The 19,872-nt window shown below is 51.1% G+C and overlaps 1 protein-coding gene across 7 annotated transcripts in view; it reads left to right on the top strand.

Moving 5' to 3' along the window:
* The window catches only part of RASGRF1 (Ras protein specific guanine nucleotide releasing factor 1), a 130,875-nt gene that overhangs the window by 58,434 nt on the left and 52,569 nt on the right, over positions 1-19,872 (top strand). For 4 of the 7 annotated variants that reach the window (NM_001145648.3, XM_017022456.3, XM_017022458.3 and 1 more), the window contains exons 7-13: positions 31-224; positions 838-947; positions 4,488-4,606; positions 6,873-7,033; positions 12,243-12,306; positions 14,441-14,577; positions 16,938-17,020. In NM_001145648.3, coding sequence (NP_001139120.1) covers positions 31-224; positions 838-947; positions 4,488-4,606; positions 6,873-7,033; positions 12,243-12,306; positions 14,441-14,577; positions 16,938-17,020 — 868 coding nt within the window. Of the gene's footprint in view, positions 1-30; positions 225-837; positions 948-4,487; positions 4,607-6,872; positions 7,034-12,242; positions 12,307-14,440; positions 14,578-16,937; positions 17,021-19,819; positions 19,859-19,872 lie in introns of all 7 variants that reach the window. The other 3 variants (XM_017022455.3, NM_002891.6, XM_011521866.4) reach the window with 1 other exon arrangement.

Below are 19,872 nucleotides of genomic sequence, written 5' to 3'. Positions count from 1 at the left end.
AGCCACCCGCTGACTGCCTCGTCCTTCCAGCTGACCTATTTGACATCCTGCTGCCCATGCTCAACATCTACCAAGAGTTCGTCCGCAACCACCAGTACAGCCTGCAGATCCTGGCCCACTGCAAGCAGAACCGTGACTTCGACAAGCTGCTGAAGCACTACGAGGCCAAGCCTGACTGCGAGGAGAGGACGCTGGAGACCTTCCTCACCTACCCCATGTTCCAGGTGGCGTCCGGCCCTGCCTGGGTGGGGTAGAGTCAGGGAGGCAGGTGTGGGGGATGGACCATGGCGGTGGGGGCACAGTGCTTAACGCACCCCAGCTCTGGGCTGCCAAAGGGGGCGGGGGAGGTGGTCAGGGCCAGCAGCCGACAATGCTGGGTGCAGGGCAAGCTGACTGTGGGCCTGTCCACGCCACCTTTCTCTCCTGGCTCCTGAGCACCCCACCCCACCCTCAGCCAGAGCAGAGCCCTAGACAAGACCCTGGAAGAGCCTCCAAGTTAGAGTCTGTGACCAAAGGGCAGCCTATCTCCTTCCTCAGTTCTGCTCATGGAAGTCCTCTGGGCTAAAAGAACCATTTTCTCTCTCCCACCACCCCCTCGTGCTCTCTCTCCCCTGGCCCGCACCCCATGCTCACGCGCTCTCTCTCTCTCTCTCCCCCTTTCCCCCGCCCTCGCCACCTCTCTCTCCCTCCCTCTCTCCCTCCCTCCCTCCCTTCCTCTCCCTCTCCCTCTCCCTCTTTCTCTCTCTCTCTTGCTCACTCCCTGTCTGCCCCTGCCTTGCTCCCCGGCCATACTTCCCTGGCTCTTTCTCCACCCTCACCTCTCCCACCTGCCCGCAGATCCCCAGGTACATCCTGACCCTCCATGAGCTCCTGGCCCACACGCCTCATGAGCACGTTGAGCGCAACAGCCTGGACTACGCCAAGTCCAAACTGGAGGAGCTGTCCAGGTGAGGCCTGGCTCTTCAGTGCACCAGACCGGCAGACAGGGCAGGGCTGAGGGTGCCCCTCACCAGGAGTTCGCTGAACCCCTGACAAAGCTTGAGTTCAGATGGGGATTGTAAGGGAGGGGCACAGCTTGCCACAGCTCAAAGCAGAGGCCCCTGGAGTGGTCCTGAGGGGGTTACAACTCAAGCCCCGGTAGGCAGGAATAGTGGGTGCTGTGCTATCCCTGGCACAGATAGGGCCCGAGGGAGGGCCCTGGGCACTCAACACCTCCCAGGAGAGGGACTGTCCATGACTCCCAGGCACTCTCTGCTCTCCAGTGTCAATGTGTCAAAACCTGTGGCCATAGGAGGCCCAGAGGGGGTCCTGGGTGACAGGCCCTCATGTGCCCAAGGCTCTAGTTAACCAGAGGCAGGTAGTGGCAGTGGTTGGATAAGCACATGGCTTGTCCAATCTAGTGCCCCTGTCCTCTGGTCAAGGCCCCTCACCTGGCCCTCTTTCAGCCCCTGAAGCCCAGAGGGAAGCTTCCTCTGCAAGGGCAGACACAGGGGAGCACGGAGGGGGCTCTTGCAGCACCCCAGGCAGCAGATGACTGTGGTCATCCAGGAAGAGGTTCCAGGAAGAGGTTCAGGTCCTGGATGCATTTTGAAGGTGGAACCAACAGGATTTTCTGATGGATTTGATGTGGAAAGAGAAAGACTAGAGTCAAGGGTGATTCCAGGATGTGGGGCTGAGCCACCAGAGGGCGGAGGTGCCATCAACCGAGCTGGAGAAAACTGCAGGAGGGACAGGTCTGGAGGGGAGTTCAGGAGCTTTCTTGGGAGCATGTTGAACTTAGGTGCCAATTCAATGTCCAAGTGTAGATGACAAGAAGGGACTGGGGAATTTGAGTCTGGAGCAGAGGGGAAAGAGAAATCCGGCAATCATCAGCTTGCAGATGGTGTTTAAAGCGACAGCACTGGTGAGACCGCCAAGGGAATTAGCTTGGGCAGGAAAAAGATGAGAACCAGAAGCTGAGCCCGGGGGTATGCACCCTGTGAAGACCAAGAGATGAGGGAGGGCCTTGTGGTCAGAACTAGGCTGCCAAGGGCTACAAAGAAGGTCAGTCTGCAGGGCCTGGGATCCAGCCCCGGCCCTACCCAGGGCACTGCCAAACACTCAGTGCCCTAAAAGTCTTCCTGAGGCCGGCAAGGGGCAGCCAACCAGGCCACAGCTCCCAGCTGGGTGGAGGGAGGGACAGCACAGGGTATAGGCTGCCCCCGATCCTTCCATGACCCAGCCAAGTTGCACACCTGAGTGGAGAATCAGGGCAAGGATGTCATCAGGGTGTGATTGCAGAGTAACGAAACCACCAAGCAGGAAGGTGGAGGGACTCCAGTCCTCCCATGCCCAGGGATCCAAATCCCGCACACTCTTCCCCAAGGGAGAAGGTTTGGGACTCCGGTAAGGCAGCAGGCTCCTCCTTGCTGAGGGATATCCTATCCTGTTGCAAACAGAGCTGCAGGTGGCACATGGTGCCAAGGTATTTGACATAAGACCCTGATCCCTTATCCCCGGGATCCTAGGTGTATGGCCTACTCTTCCTTCCTCCCACCCAACTGCCTGTACCTGGCCCTGAACCCAGCCCAAGTGGCACAGAAGGTTTTCCTATCACCATGACAGCATCCCTTTAATTCTCCTTTCACGCTCCCACAAGCAGGAAGCCATTAGATAGCCAAACCCCTCCTAGGCTGCGCTCAGAAACACTCCCCACCTCTGGGGACTGGGCCTTCCTCCCACCTTTTTATCCTGACCCCTATATTCTCTGCTCGCTGATAACCCAAATCATCATTTCCAGGGCTCCCAGGAGCCTCGCGACCTTGAAACTCCCACCGCCTTCCCAGAGCTCCCCAGCTGTGTGCGCATATGGGTCCCAAACACAGACCCCCACCTGGGGCTGGAACTTAGAATGTGTAAACTGCAGCTGCTCAGGAAAACTAGTTTTGCTACCTTGGAATTACCCGCCTTGTGTTTTACCAAACACAGGCTTCCCCCGCAAAACCCCACCCTCATCAAGAGAAGTGGTTTTAATTACCATTGGCTATTTCCATAATGGATCCATCTCTAGGGAACTAGCATGTGTCCAGAGGTGCCTCCCTCTCAAACATCAAGCAGGGGTCTGGGCTTCCAAGAAGAGCATTGCTGGGGAAGAAAGGGGGAAACTGAGGCTCCCAAGGAAGAGACTCCAGCGAAAGGCCCTGGTCCATTTATTAAAGGGCTAGTCTAGTGAATTTAAGCCTAAAATGCATGTCCTCAACCAGGAAAGATAATAATAACTCTTTTGCAACCAATGATAATAGCAACAACAATCACCACTACCCTTTATTTAAGCAGCTGTCACATGCCAGGCATGGCATAGCATGCACGGGTACCTGAAATCCCTTTTATTCCACCTTTGCCCCAGCATTCTGTAGATGAGGAAACTAAGGATCAGAGGGATTGAGGAGTCTGGTCAATGTCATGCTGATTCAGTTAAGCACAGATCCAGCTCCGGAAGAGGCAGTGTCATCTTTGTTTTGGGGTTTAAATTGAATAATGTCTATGAGAGAAGTTTGTAAGCCGCACATATTAACCAGCCTTCTTGTTGGTCTTAACTGTGGAAATTCAGGCATCAGCAGCAGATAAAAGGTTTTGTACTTTGCTTGGAGTAGGTGGGGTACTTTTGCCAGAAGCCCCCCTTCCCCACTCCCCAGACCCTGCCACTGCCAAATTCCCCTCTACCTTCCCAAGACTCCTGGAAACCCACCAAGGCAAAATTGGCAGCTAACACCCACCTTTTCCCACCAACGCCATTTTGTAAAAGCTATTGGATGGCGCCATCTCTTGGAGAGGAGGGGTATTACAGCAGTCGGAGAGCGAAATAGGGGAGTTGTCTATATTCCCTCCCAGAAGGGCCAGAGCCTACAGAAGTAGGCTAAGGTCAGTCATCCCCTGAGCCAGCGGGATTGCCAGGTGCTCCAAAAGGTAAGCCATTTCAGGGCCCAAGCGATATTAAGGACACAATTATGCAAATATTTGGAGAAAGAGCATTCAAGAAGAAGAGACAGCAAGTGCAAAGGCCCTGAGGGAGTAATGAGCTTTGCTCTTGGGATGGGAATAAGGCTGGTAGAAGGATGAGGGTCAGGGTCATGAACACAGGATGTCTCCTGTGCTCCCATATCCTTCCCAGTGCTGAGCTGCACCTGCTGTCTGTTCTACATAGTTCAGACTGTAAAATCTGACAGATGTGCTTCATAGCTGCTGACTTCAGTTTTCTTTTTTCTGAAATAAGAACACTTGCCTCCTTGAGCTGTCAGAAGGATAAAATGAGGTCGTGCCTATGAAGTGCCCGGCATGCAGCAGGCACTCAGTAAATGCACACTCCCTTCCCCTCCATGACCACAGACTCCACCTGAGAATCCTTGTGCCAGGCTTTCTTCCTAGGTCTGGCCAGAAGCCTGGCATTCTCGCCTCCCTGGGAAGTAGGGGCAGCCTGTCTCTGACTGTGCAGTTTCCCATCCCCACAGAATAATGCACGATGAAGTAAGTGAGACGGAGAACATCCGGAAAAACCTGGCCATCGAGCGCATGATCATCGAAGGCTGTGAGATCCTCCTGGACACCAGCCAGACCTTTGTGAGACAAGGTATGGCCTCTGCACCCTGTCTCCCCTGCCCCCACCAGGTGGGCCCCAGCAGCGGGAGGGAGGCGGCACTCGGGGACGCCACCAGTTGGTTTGGCTGCCACATGCCAAGACCTGCCAATGTGATTGCAGAATATTCCCAGGCTGCTGGCGGAATGCAACAGCTATATGTAGATGTCAGTATCTATACATATAGATGCAGATATTATTGGTTTTCACAGTTTCCTTCTCTCCAGATGTAAACAGAATTCTACCCAGATGGCCTTGGTTTGTCTATTGTATGTCATAGTAAACATCGACATGTCCTTTTTGGGGAGAAAGTATGGGGCGGGGGATGAGGAGCTAACAGTTGTCTCTGTGAGTCAGAAGCGTTTTCAGTGTCTGGGAGGAGGTCAGTGTTGGGTCCATTCCCCTGTCCTTTCCTCATCATCCTCTGCTGCTTTGGAGAGACCATTTTCACAGTGGTTCTCATGGGTAGAAGGTCTTTCCCAAGCTTCAGCCTCGCTTACCTTGGGAGCAGTGTTTGAGAGGCACGGCCCCGTTGAGAGGGGTGGGTGAAGGCTCTCTGTGGCTCAGGGGACTGACATCAGAACTGCAATGCATTTGAAATTCATCACATTCAACTTCCATGTTTTGTGGGAGACTCAGCTCCTGCTGGCATGCCTCACAGGTGACCTCCACCTCAAACGGACCTCCAGAGTCCCTTCTCTGTAGCCCTGGGATTCTCTGCCTAACGAAATACTTGCCAGCGCCTCCCGCTGGCCTGTGCAGCTGCCTTGGACAAGGGTATCACCTTTTCGGAGTTTTGTCCCAGCCCCTGTGTGTGGTGGCCCCTACATCCTTCCCCAGGCCCACCCTGTGACCTGCTGAGCTCAGAGCCAGCCCTGCCTGTTTCTCAGCTCCCCTTGGGCTGTGTTGGGCATTCTCTGTGCCAGAAATATTCTCACACAGTATTTTAGGCCCCCTCTGAAGGAACCCCAAGTGGACCTGGCTTGGAAGTAGCCCAAGAAATGACCCCTCCTGGGGTGGGCAGTATCCCCACAGACCAGAAATCTGCTCCATCACCCTGAGTCAAGGCATTTTCTCCCTCTCCAGCCGGGCTGGACCTGGAGACAAAATGAGTGGATTCTGCAAGGCGTTTCTCACTTGTCAGTCATGCAGCCAGCACTGATACCTGCCCTGCTCATGCCAGACGTACAGGGGGTTCTGGGGACACTCAGAGAACAGCCTCAGCCCTGCCCTCCGGAAGCCTATGGTACAGAGGAAGAGAGTCATGAGGGGACAAACGCAGGAACACCAGGTGCCAGGTGGATCTCCCTGATGCAGGAGGCAGAGTGGTGGCCTGGAGCAGGACCAAGAGAGTCACGAGGGCTTTCCCAAGGATAAGCAGGAATTCACAGGGAAGACAGAGTGAAGGAAGGGCTTTTCAGAACTAAGAGTGACACTCAGGCTAACTTGACCCAGAACTACATGTGAGGCAGAAGAAGGGGACAATGGTAAGAGTGCAGGCTGGGAGGTGTGCCCAAGCCAGACCACTGGGAGGCCTCAAGTGCCTGAATCCTGGGAACAGTGAGGAGCTGTGGACCTCAGTGGGGAGGGGGCCTGAAGGGTATGTATTAGGGTGGGTACACCAGAGTAGGGCAGCAATGGCTTTCATGACAGGCACCTACTCTGCTCAGTAATGGCTTCCTAGAGTGCTGTGCTGAGGACTGAGAAGCTCTGTCTGGGCTCTGCAGTATGGTGCAGTGATTGATTGGTGATGCCTGCCATGGCTGTGGACAACAGGAGTGCAATGTATCTTTTTTTTTTTTTTTTTTAAATCTTAGTAGCTATCTTTTTTACAAGTAGGATGGGAGGCAGGGTTTGCCCTAAGTAGTTCCCAGCAGGAGTGCAATGTATCTTGTTAACCCCTCGGGGCCTGCAGCCAGCTCCCCACTTGTTCAGCTCCCTGCCATCCCCAGACCTCAGCCCAGCCCTTCATTCTCACCACATGGGCCATGCCCTTTGGGGTTCCTTTGCTTGCTTAGCCCCTAGCCCCTGGCTGGGATGTCAGTGGGCCCTGCATGGAGCTTCTCTGATCACCTCTCATCCCTCAGCCATCTGGCCCTGCAGAGAGGCCTAAAGGAGTATCCCAGGGGCACATTTGCTACTGGGAAACAGAATGGACTTGTCCCACTGCTGCTGCCCCAGCATCTCAACCTTCAAGGCTGGGTCAGAGGCAAAGGTCACCCCAGGAGATGGGCTCAGGGTCTCTCTCCTCCACCCACAGGTTCCCTCATTCAGGTGCCCATGTCTGAAAAGGGCAAGATCACCAGGGGGCGCCTGGGGTCTCTCTCCCTAAAGAAAGAGGGCGAGCGACAGTGCTTCCTGTTTTCTAAGCATCTGATTATCTGTACCAGAGGCTCTGGAGGGAAGCTTCACTTGACCAAGGTAAGGGCTACGGGAGAGGGGCTTGGGGGCTGCCCAGCTAGGGTCATGCAGGCGCTGTCCTGGCCAGAGGGTCTATGGGCCCAGGTGGTGGGCAGGGGTGTCAGAGACGTGTGCATGCACACACACACAGATATACACACAACCCATAGTTTGGCCAGCTGGAGAGAGCAGAACTTGACCGATTTTCCACTAGGGAAATCCTGGGAGATGGGAAGGTGAGAATCGAGGGCTTCAGATTCCCCACACTGGGCACCTGGGCAGAGGAGCCAGAGGGCCTGGACAGACCCCTAAAAGGCATGTGTGTGTGCATGTGTGTGTGTCTGTGTGTGTTTGTGTGTATGTATGTGTGGTGTTTTTGTGTCTGTGTGTTTGTATATGTGGTGTGTGTGTATGTGTATATGCGTGTGTGTGTATGTGTGCGTGGTGTGTATATATATGTGTGTGTGTCTGTATGTGTTTATATCTCTCTGTGTGTATTAGTCCATTTTCATACTGCTATGAAGAAATACCTGAGACTGGGTAATTTACAAAGAAAAAGAGGTTTAATGGGTTCACAGTTCCACATGGCTGAGAAGGCCTCACAATCATGGTGGAAGGCAAAGGAGGAGCAAAGGCATGTCTTACATGGCAGCAGGAAGGAGACCATGTGCAGGGGAACTGCCCTTTACAAAACTATCAGATCTTGTGTTACTTATTCAATATCACAAGAATAGCATGGGAAAAATCTACCCCCATGATTCAATTACCTCCCACTGGGTCCCTCCCATGACACATGGGGATTATGGGAGCTAAAATTCAAGATGAGATTTGGGTGGGGACACAGCCAAACCATATCAGTATGTATGTATGTGTATATGTGTTTGTGTCTGTGTGTGTGGTGTGTGTATGCATGTGTGTGTATATATTTGTGTATATGATGTGTGTATTTGTGTATAGTGTGTGTATGTGTTTGCCTCTATGTGTGTTGTGTCTCTGTGCATTTGTGTGTGTTCATTGTGTGTGTGTGTATGGTATATGGCATATGTATGTGTGTATATGTATTGTCTTTCTGTGTACAGGTGTGGTGGATATGTGTGTGGTATGTGTCTGTGTGTCTATGTGTATATCCGTGTATGTTTATATGTATGTATGTGGTGGGTGGGTGTGGTATATGTGTATATGTGTGTGTGTCTGTGTGTGGTGTATGTTTTTGTGTACATGTGTCTCTGTGTATGTATGTGTGATGTATGTGTGGTGTGTATATGTGTGTGTATGTGTATGTGTGTGTGTGTGTTTGTATGTGTGTGTGTGTGTGATGTGTGTATCTGTGTGTGTCTATGTGTGAGATATGTGTTTGTGTGTCTGTGTGTGTGGTATGTGTTTTTGTATCTGTGTGTGTGGTGTGTGTGTCTGTGTCTGTGTGTGGTGTGTGTGAAGGGCAGGGTAGAGGGCCTCCACTGGCTGAGGGCCAAGGCATCACTTGGAGCTTTTCTTTCATCTCCACCCCAAAGGAGCTCTGACAGAGCCCCTTCCAGTGACCTTCTCAGGTGTCCCCTCCTCCAGCACAGGAGACCTGGAGGCTGCTGAGCTGCTCCACACAGAGCCTCAGGACCTTGCGGCCCTGCATGAGACCCTGATGCTCAGCTAACCAGCTCATCCCTAAAGGGGGAGGGAATGAGCATCTCAGACCCCCTCCTGACTCCTCATAGGCCGAGGGCCTTTGCTCATGCTGTCTGTTCAGCCACACAGCCTCCTCTCCCCTGGCAGACCACCTTAACATGCCTCAAGGCCTGTTCAAGTGCTACCTCTGCTGTAAAGCCTGTGGCCTGGGCAGGATCTCCTGTCCCCCGACACAGCCCACTACTTGTCTCATTGCTGTGAGCTCAGCATCAGTCCCAGCTCCATCCCTCACACACATGTGACCCTGGAAAAGACTCCTGCCCCTGTCCACACTTCCTCTATCAAATAAGGACATTGACCCTCACAGAGACATTGCACAGATAAGTTAGCAGTGAGCTCACAGTGGATGTGGATTTGCTGTCAATTAGGAAGCACTTGCCTCTGTAAGCTACAGTCCCTCCAGCCCTGCATTCATCACCTTGGAAGCCTGAACACACTGTGGCCTGGAAAGGGCCAGAAGGTGCTTTTTTTTTTTTTCCCCAAGACGGAGTTTCAGTCTATCGCCCAGACTGGAGTGCAGTGGCGTGATCTCGGCTCACTGGGAACTCTGCCTCCTGGGTTCACCCCATTCTCCTGCCTCAGCCTCCCAAGTAGCTGGGACTACAGGAGCCCACCACCATGCCCGGCTAATTTTTTGTATTTTTAGTAGAGATGGGGTTTCACCGTGTTAGCCAGGATGGTCTCGATCTCCTGACCTTGTGATCCGCCTGCCTCGGCCTCCCAAAGTGCTGGGATTACAGGCGTGAGCCACCGCGCCCGGCCCAGAGGGTGCTCTTAATTAAGCCACAGCATCAGATAAACCATTCTTCCAGACCCTGGATGCCTGGCCCATAACCTCCTGCAGAGCTAACATACCCAGCAATGGCTTCAGGGAATATGTTGCTTATGTTCACATGGCCACAAATTAGCTGGTTGGCTGCACAAGGGGAAATTAATTTACAAATATTGAATACTTCTGTTTTAACCAAATTATGTGTCAAGGAACGCTTTCATTATTTATTAGCTCTGGAGTTTCTACTGATAAGATCTCTGTCTAGGCTGGGGGTGTGGCGGGGGTCAGTGGAGGCAGGTTAAACTGAAGACACGAAGGCTCTGAAAATCCAAAAGCATGTTTTTATGTTAGTTTTATTTTATCTGGAGTTTTCTGTTTGTTTGCTTGTTTGTGATTAGTTTTTTTGTGGGGGTTTTTGGGGGGGGGTTGTTTGTTTGTTTTTGAGGTGGAGTTTCGCTCTTGTCACCCAGGCTGGAGTGTAATGGCGCAATCTCGGCTCACTGCAACCTCTGCCTCCCAGGTTCAAGAGATTCTCCTGCCTCAGCCTCCCGAGTAGCTGGAATTATAGGCACCCGCTACCATGCCTGGCTCATTTTTGTATTTTTAGTAGAGACGGGGTTTCACCATGTTGGTCAGGCTGGTCTCAAACTCCTGACCTCAGGTGATCCACCAGCCTCAGCCTCCCAAAGTGCTGGGATTACAGGCGTGAGCCACCGCACCCAGCTGTTTTTAGTTTTAAAAGTCTCTTAGCACATTGGCAAAGAGCATGGAATCAGAAATCAACTCAAATCCCAGCACTGCCACCCACCAGTAGGTGACCTCAGACAAGTCACATGGCCTCATCAGGCTTCAGTTTCCTTATCTGCATAAAGGGTGTAGAAATACCTCCTTTACAGGAGTGCTGTGAGGAGTAAGTGAGGGAGTTCTCGTGTCAGGTACACGCTCAGTGCTCACTGGATAACAGACATTGTCACTCTTAATTATGAATAACGAACTTGTATTTATAACATCAATCCTTGCATAATGCTTACTATGGGGCAAGAACTCGCTCAAATACATTATGTATATTTAATTCCCAGAACAGCCCACTGAGACGGATACTACCATTTTCCCCATTTTATATAGACAAGGGAAGTGAGACAGAAGAAGCCAGCACGTGGCAGGGCTGGGATTTGAACCCAGCCAGTCTGGCTCCAGAGTCTGTGTTCTTAATCACTATGCTCTAGTCTCCAATAGCCATAAGCTAAAATTCAAATCACTTCTCTTGAAATATCCAAGTGGCAATAGAATGCCTTAAGTCCTTTCTGAAGGGGGCAGACTACAGATCTGCAAGATTTAAAATGACTGTAAGAATTTTTGAGACCCTGAAGTAAGAGAATGTCAGAGCTAGATGGGGCTTTCAAAATGATCAAGCTCAGTGACATCACTGGGCAAGCTTGAGGCCCAGTGGGTTAGTCCTGGGGGCTAACCCAAGGCCACCAAAGAGCAAAGCAAGAAGTCAAACACAGGGTTTGGTGGTCCACTTTGCCTCCCAAGGGGCAGCCTGCTCTGCAAGCATTTTCATATATAGATTAGTCACATGGCCAGGTCTCCATTATCATTCATTATTGTTTTACTTTATCTGTTGCTGTGTAACAAATTACCTCCAAATGTAGTAGCTTAAAACAAACATTTATTACCTCACAATTTCTGTGGGTCAGGAAATCAGGAGCTACTTACCTGGGTGGTCTTGGCTCAGGGCATTTCAGGGGTTTGCAGTCAAGATGTCAGCTGGGGCTGCAGTGTTCCGAAGGTTCAACTGGGGCCGGGGTATCCTTTTCCAAGATGATATGCCTCCATGGCTGTTGGCTGGAGGCCTCAGTTCCTCATTCATAGACCTCTCCCCACAACATGCCAGTTGGTGTCCCCCACAACAGGTGATGCAAGAGACAGCAAGAGAGCAAGCAGGAGAATGTGGTCTCCAAAGTGGCACACCATCACTTCTGATTTATTCTTTTAATTAGATGTAAGCCACTAAGTCCAGCTCACACTCAAGAGGAAGGGAATTAGGCTTTGCCTTTTGAAAAGAAAAATGTGAAAGAATTTGTGAACATGTCTTACAACCACCACAGCTGTGGCCACTCTTATTTCTCACTACAATGTTAAGGGACCTCCTACCCAAGAGATGCTCCCACACTCATGGATGGGAGGCATTTTTCCAGGTATTCCTAATAATTAAAATAAGTAACTGACCAGGACTGGGATCGGGCCCTTGAGGCTCTCTCCAGACTCACTGCTAACTTGCCAGCGGACCTTGAACAAGACATGCAACTTCTCTGTCTTCATTTCTTCACCTGTAAAATGAGAATTACAATACCCATAAGACCAGCCTCTGTCTTCCTGTGGGTAACCTGATAGCTTTGGCCTAAAACGGGGGATTTCAAACCTCTGCAGATTTAGGGCTATGAAGCGATGCCCTGGAGCTGCTGTGGAAGCAAGAAGGGGCCAAGCAGGCCAGGTTCTGTCCGCTCCACCCATGGCCAGAACTCAACCTTGGTTTGGGGAAGGCCTCTCTGAGACAATCTCCTTTGACCCACTTCATTGAGCTTCTTATATGAAGATAAAGTCCTTCCACTGAAAAAGCAAAATACCCACTTGGCATATAATATATCCATCCATACATCTGTGTGTATACATGGATGCTCCTTGTTAAAGTCCCCTCCAACCCTATCATCCAGGGACTCCTAAACCAGCATATCTACCCCTCAATCCAAAGCAGCCCCTGCTGCTCTTTTTCAGAATGGAGTCATATCCCTCATTGACTGCACTTTATTGGAGGAGCCAGAAAGCACGGAGGAGGAAGGTGAGTGTGAAAGCTGCATGTGCGCATGTGTGTGCTTGCACAGATACACACACGCTCACTCCTAAAGGTTGGGCCAGGCATTAGTTTCTTTGGGAGGAATGGAGGATGCTGAAGTGCGGAGGGGAGGTCCACACATGCCCTCATGCACACACCCTGTTCAGTCCCTGCTACAGCTGGGCTTTGCTCCCCTTGTACTTCCAATAAGGTGTGGAGAGGCCAGAGCCTGAGGCTTTAAAGAAAGAGCTCCCAGCCCGGCAGGTGATGACCCTGATCCACCTTCCTGGTTCGTTCCAAGCTCCCTGGGCTGCTGGACCAGTTGGCACTGTTAGGTTTTGGGGTCACAGCATCTCAGTGAGCACCCCTCATTCACACACCTGTGTGTGACATGCACAAGGGCTCTTGGGGCCATGTGCTGGAAGCCAGGGACACACCCAGCCCTATCTCTGTCCTGCAGTGGAAAAGGAAAGAATGTGCAGGGGCCACTGACAGAGGGATTGCAGGGCTGAGGGTCCTGAGAGAGAGAACCATGCCCTTGCAGGGGCCAGGAGGGGAGGCAAGACCTCGGTGAGAAGGGGCTGAACAACTCAAATGGGGCTGAATGGGGAAGTGTGCGGAGGGCAGAGTCCTTGGTGCTGTGATGTTTGATGGGATTTATCTCCCAAGGCATCAGAATTGGAGGTGGGGTCATTATTCAGATTAGGGGGTGGGATCACTACTCTCTCTTGATTGGGCCAAAGTTGGCACTCATTTCCCTTCTTCACTGACCCCAAGCCAAGACCCTCAGAGATGTCTCTGGATGCCCTGCCCTGTGGGGACACCAGCAGGACCCGTGCTCTTTTCCCTCCTCAGACTGGGCCTCCTGGGGTGGGCTGTGTCTGAAGCACCTCAGCATCACAGGCCCAGCATGGCATGGGGATGGGCATGGGCCTGGGGGTTGCCACACACACGCTTGGCAAACACACACACACACACGCCCTCATGCACACACCCTGTTCAGCCCCTGTTACCACTGGGTTCTGCTCCCCTCATGCCCTTCCAATAAGGGCCAAATCAAGTGGTTCCCCAAGGGAAGAATAAACGAGGAGGCAGCTTACCTGGAGCCTTCCTACCAGTGCAGCCTTCTTTCATCTTGGCCACAGCAGGTCCACAGGAAAACCCAGGCTCAAGTGGCACTGTCAGGCCCCAAAACTCTTTACCCTCCTAGGCCCAGGGAGGTGGGATCCTGGCCACAAGCGTTCCCCACCTGAAACACACCCACACACAGGCACCCACTTCTCAGAGACTCCAGCACAGTCCCAGGAGAATGGGCTCCCTCGTGCCCAGCAAGGACTCCTAAAATTCTCAGGTGTCAGAACTGGAAGGGACAGGAACCTCAGAGAAATCAAGTCCCACTCCTGTTGCACAGGAGGACATCTGAAGCCCAGAGGGGGAAGGAAACCACCTCAACATCACACAGCCATAGAGCTTTGGAGCAAAGCAGAACCAAAGCAGGCCCTTTACACCATGAACCCATTCAGTGCACCCCTAATTAATGTGAGTGCATTGAAAAGAATCTTGAAGCTGTGGTTTTAGTTTTTCCAAATAAACAGCTTTCAAGACTTCAAGGGACTTTCAGGTTAAGAGCAGTAACAAAAATACCTAGAATTCACTTTTGCTTTGGGGAGCTCTAAACTGAACTAAATGTCCAGCCCAATCCATAAAAGTTTAAGACCTTGAAGTTCCTCATTTGGCCCCAGAACCACCTTGGGGTAGCAGGAGGGCCTGGCTGAGAGGCCCATTCTAGCCCTGCCCTGGCTTGGCCACCACCCTGCTGGGAGCCTTGGGCAAGTCCTCGCCCGTGACCTCACCTCCATTGGTGTAATGAGGGCAGAGGGCAGACTGTGATTCCTAAAGGCTCTCCTGCTCTGAATCCGGAACTGCCCCTGAGTGGTTGTAAGCTACGTCTTAGTTCTTCCATCTTTGAAATGGGGATTTCCCACTTAGGAAAATAATATTCTGAAAGTAGCAGCAATTGGCCTGGTGCCTTACCAACGCAGAGCCTCCACTGGTACGTACGACAGGGACCACTAAAACATTTTCCACCTGAAAAGGCGTCCACATTCATGCTGCTAACTTTATGTTTTACAACTGGAAGCCAAAGGATCCGGCCAAGACATAGATCACTTGGATTTTAAAATCGGGGTGGAGCCAAAGGATTCCCCGCCCTTTACAGTCATCCTAGTGGCCTCGTCCAGACAGGAGAAGGCAGCGTGGACCAGTGACATCAGCCAGGTGAGTAGCGTCACCTGTTCCTGAAAGCGAGTGGTCCCTTCATGCCTAACCAGGTCAGGGATTTGGCTGGTGGCAGGTAGGGGGTGGGGGTGGTGGAGTAGCTGCACTGTTCTACAGAGAAAGATGCAAGAATCTTCCAAGTCCACAGCCCTACCCAAAGCTGAGCTCAGCTAGTCCATCCCGTTTGTAGTCCCCTGGGTCACCTTGAAAGTGTGGTCTGGAAACCCCTCTTGCATCTGTATCACCTAGCAAGGTGATTTTAAAAACTTCAGTTTCCTGGACCCTTCTCCCCTTTCCCCACTATCCTGCAGACCTACAGATCTAAATTGTTGGCATGTGACCTGTAAATCCGCATTTTAGTACATGCCCCAGGTCATTGATACGCACAGAAAAGTCTGAACATATTAGATGTAATAATGTTCACAGCGAGAGAACGGTGTCCCTGAAAGCCAAGGGTAGCTTCTTCAGTGAGTCGGGGCAGCTACCTAAGATCAAACCCAGCCTCAATTATGCACACGGAAGATTTAGTTTTGCTTTGGCCTGCTGTAAGCATTAGGGTCATTCACCCTATTTGGAGCATTAAGCAGGAAGCACAGACTTTTCCAGGCACCAGTGAGCAGACCCAGAATGCCCATGGGTGCCTAAAGTACAAGGGGTGAGACTTGAGTCTATAAAGAGGCTGTCAGCAGCACCGGGGTTTAGGCCCCAGGACAGGCCCCTCCCTGAGCCCAGCAAGGGCCTGTGATGGGTCAGGGATGTGCCATCCCAGCAGCTGGGAGCCTTGGCCATCCTCTCTGCGGGGTGGGGTGGTAGGAGAGCAGCCAACAGCAGAAGGGGAGGGAGGTTGGTGGCCCCCCATGGTCTAGAGGGTTGCAGGAGGCCTGTGCCTGTAGAAACTGAAAGGGCAGGGCAGCATCTTCGTGGGACCTAGGACGGCTTCCCTTGCTTGCTCCCCACCTTCTTGGTTTTGTGCCCCTTCCAGGCTCCCCTGACTGCCGCTCCCAGCCTTCCTTCTGGCCCACCTGCCCATCTCGCAGTCCCAGAGGAGTAAGGCGGGTGGGATGATGCATGGCACGTGCCTGTTCTGAGTCTTCCCACATGTCTTCAAAACACCCAGAAAGCCCTAGAGAAAACTGCAGACCCTGAGCTTTGCCCTTTCACATCCCCAGTGAGCCGCAGCCGTCAAAGGCCTGGGGCTGCTTGCCCAGAGGGTGCCCACCAGGCCTCTGCCCTCCTGGCAGCCGTTGTGGATGCCAGTGAAGGGGTCAAGGTGGGAGTCCTCTGGCCCCTTCCCCAAGCCCTCCTGCCTCCATAACACTCTGAGCCCATGGCCAAGTCTTCTTTGTTTTGGAGTTGCTGGTAGAACCAAAGCTAGAGAGATTGTCAGATGGGTGGGAGAAGTGGGGCTGAGAAATGCAAATGACAGAAGCCTCCCTCTTTGGGGTCGTGGCCTTGCCCAGAAGTCTGGGCCTGGGAGCTCCACCACCCACTGTGCCAGCTCTCAGCTGCCACTTCCCAATGACTTTGACACCCTCCTCCCTGCAACACACACATTCTCAAAACCAGAAGATTCTGTGATGTGCCACCAAGCCTTCCCTATCGCTATGCCAAGAAGAAACCCTCTCATGGCAGAAATGTGAAGACCCAGGGCAGGGGACAGTGCAGGGGAAAAGAGGCAGCTCCCCCAAGAGATGCAGTTTTTATTTTTGTTTGGGCGGGTACTTCCTATTCAAAGCAAAATTTGGATTTTGAATATTTTTGGAGGCCGAGTGAAATGTACAATCATCTGTGCCCCTCCCGCCAGCAGCCTTGCCTTCTCCAGGGCCCCACACCCATGGACTCTTCATATGGAAAACCATCCACAGCATCCAAGTGTTGGCACTGTGGTGGTCAGAGGACAGAGAGAACAGTTCAGCACCCTCGTGCAGTGGCGCAGAGGCCCTGCTGGGCTGGCCTCCCAGGAGAGAGATCCCACATCACCATGGATCTGATCTTGTCCTTGACACTGGACCCCAGAGGTCAGCAACAGAATGGTCAGTGTCAGATGCATTCATTTTGCATCCCAGTGGTTGTTTGTAATCAACCCAGTGAGGTAGAAGTCATTATCCCCACTTTGCATATAATGAAACTAAGACTTGAGGTCAAGTAAGTTCCCCAAGGTCATTCAACTGAGACTTGACTTCCGGCCAAAGTCTAAAGGATGCGCCACGCTGACCCTGCCTTTGCCAGGACAATGCCCTTGAAGCTTGAGGACCCTGTATCAGACTGAGGCATGTGAACTTTACAGTTGGCAGAGCTCCTGGTGGGCCTGGGTCCAGGAATGGAGAGCTCTGACCCTGGGGTCCTCTCTCTGATTCCAGTGTGTGGATAACATCCGATGCAATGGGCTCATGATGAACGCATTTGAAGAAAATTCCAAGGTCACTGTGCCGCAGATGATCAAGTAAGTGCCCTTAACCCCATCTTGACCAGGCAGCATTCCAGAGACTGAGTACCACAAGGTGACAGCCAGGACACTGGGATGAGCCAGCTACTGGGGTTCAGAGATGCTGGGCTTTGTCTTTGGGGGTGTTTTGGATGTTTTCTTGTTTGTTTGTTTTGAGTTGGGTGATTGCTATTTGGATGATTGCTTTGGCTTAGTTTTTTGGGTTTTTTTTTTAAATTTTTTATTTCCATAGGTTTTGTGGAACAGGTGATATTTGGTTACATGAGTAAGTTCTTTAGTGGTGGTTTGTGAGATTTTGGTGCACCCGTCACCCCAGCAGTATACACTGAACCCCAATTTGTAGCCTTTTTTTGTTTTGTTTTGTTTTGTTTGTTTTTTGTTTTTTGTTTTTTGTTTTTTGTTTTTTTGAGACCAAGTCTTGCTCTGTCACCCAGGCTGGAGTACAGTGGTGCAATCTCAGCTCACTGCAACCTCTGCCTCCCGGGTTCAAATAATTCTCCTGCCTCAGCCTCCTGAGTAGGTGGAACTACAGGCGTGTGCCACCATGCCTGGCTAATGTTTTGTATTTTTAGTAGAGACAGGGTTTCACCATGTTAGCCAGTATGGTCTCGATCTCCTGACCATCTCGTGATCTGCCTGCCTCAGCCTCCCAAAGTGCTGGGATTACAGGTGTGAGCCACCGCCTCCGGCTCCAATTTGTAGTCTTTTATCCCTCACCGCCTTCCTACCCTTTCCCCCTGAGTCCCCAAAGTCCACTGTGTCATTCTTATGCCTTTGCATCCTCATATCTTAGGTCCCACTTATGAATGAGAACATACAATGTTTGGTTTTCCATCCCTGAGTTATTTCACTTAGAATAATAGTCTCCGGTCCTATCCAGGTTTCTGTGAATGCCATTAATTCATTCCCTTTTATGGCCAAGTAGTATTCCATCATATAAATATAACACAATTTCTTTATCCACTCATTGATTGATGGACATTTGGGTTAGTTCCACATTTTTGCAAATTGTGCTGCTATAAACATGCATGAGCAAGGATCTTTTTTGCGTAATGACTTCTTTTACTCTGAGTAGATACCCAGTAGTGGGGTTGCTGGATCAAATGGTAGTTCCACTTTTCCTTCTTTAAGGAATCTCCACACTGATTTCCATAGTGGTTGTGCTAGTTTTCATTCCCACCAGCAGTGTAGAAGGGTTACAGAAGTCTTACCTTTTCACCACATCCATGCCAACATCTATTTTTAAAAATTTTTTTTATTATGGTGCTTTGGCTTAGTTTTGTTATGGTTCATCTGTTTTGTACATGTGGATTATTTCTGTATTAGGTTGTTTAAAATATAACATTAGGAATGAAACTTTATGTACTCTTTTTTAATAACTATTTTTCTCTTCCTAATTAAAAAATGAATATATAGAACATTTCAAAAACCAGAAAAACCAAAACGCAGGCTCCAGGACCACTGTGTTTGTTTGAACAATCCCCAGAGACAATGTCCTACTAAACGCAGCTCTCCAAGCCCTGGGTAATACAGCCTCCCTCACCTGCACCAGGCACAATTCTCTTGCAGTCACCTGCACGCCTAACCCCCTCACCACACACTCCTTCCTGCCCCAACCCTGGAGCCCACTGGCTCTCTGGCCTCCATTCCCACCTCTGAATTCTGAGCCTGCCTTGCTCATCTGGTGCACGCTAGGACTCTGCTCCCATCTGGGCCATGTTGCTGTTGCCAGAACAATCATCTGGGTAACCCAGGCCTGTTTGCTACTTCACATACATGCTCTGGGGAACTGCAGATGTAATGCGTTTAATGCAGAATATGATTTAATGTGTGAAATCCTTTGTTTCCACTCGCCACCACTCTGAAGTCAAGTCTGATGAAGTGAGTCCTTTATGAACCTACTGTGTGCCAGGAGCTAGCCGAGGCAGTTTCAGGTCCACCAGGTCTTTAAGCCTCTGCACAAGTTGATAAGGAATTATTCCCCTCATGACTACATCACTGAACAGGTGGTGGGGTACAGCAGAAAGGTCTGGCCTTGAAGGCAACAGCCCTGGTCCCCAGCCCTAGCTTTGTGTGTGACCCTCGTCCCCAGCCCCAGCTTTGTATGTAAACCTGGTCCCCAGCCCTAGCTTTGTGTGTGAATATGGACAAGTCGCTTAACCTTTCCGAGCTTGGGTTTCTCACGTTGTAAATGGGGGACATGATAATACCTACCTACCTACTTCCTAGATCCGTTTCAATAATCCAATAAAACTCACAGCTGGAATTACCATTATATGTTTAGTGAGTACCCACTCAATTACCATTATATGTTTAGTGAGTACCCACTCATGCTCTGGAAAGGGTGCCCATTGAGACAGCAAAAGGAGCAGATGAACTTTGGGAGGCCGAGGTGGGTGGATCACTTAAGGTCAGGAGTCCAAGACCAGCCTGACCAACATGGTGAAACCTCGTCTCTACTAAAAATACAAAAATTAGCCAGGCCTGGTGGCATGCGCCTGTAATCCCAGCTACTCAGAAGGCTGAGGCGAGAGCATCACTTGAGCCTAGGAGGCAGAGGTTGCAGTGAGCCGAGACCTCACCACTGCACTCCAGCCTGGGTGACAGAGTGAAACTCTGTCTCAAAAAAAAGAGAGAGTGCGGATGAAACAAAAATAAAATTAAAATCACCTATGAAAGAAAAAAATAACAAAATTTTGAATAATGATGGTGATAAAGTGAATGGAATGTCCAGATTAAACTTACAACTTCAAGGACCCATCTGCTTACCAATCTAAAGCCTGGTTTTCTTCACAGGAGGACCAGGGAGGGGACCAGGGAAGCAGAAATGAGCAGGTGGGGTCTCCGTC

The sequence above is a fragment of the Homo sapiens genome, chromosome 15 (genome assembly GCF_000001405.40).
Source record: "Homo sapiens chromosome 15, GRCh38.p14 Primary Assembly".
In the NCBI taxonomy this organism is placed as follows: Eukaryota; Metazoa; Chordata; class Mammalia; order Primates; family Hominidae; genus Homo; species Homo sapiens.
The sequence above is the reverse complement of the archived record's forward strand: the minus strand, read 5'-3'. Positions and strand labels throughout refer to the sequence as shown.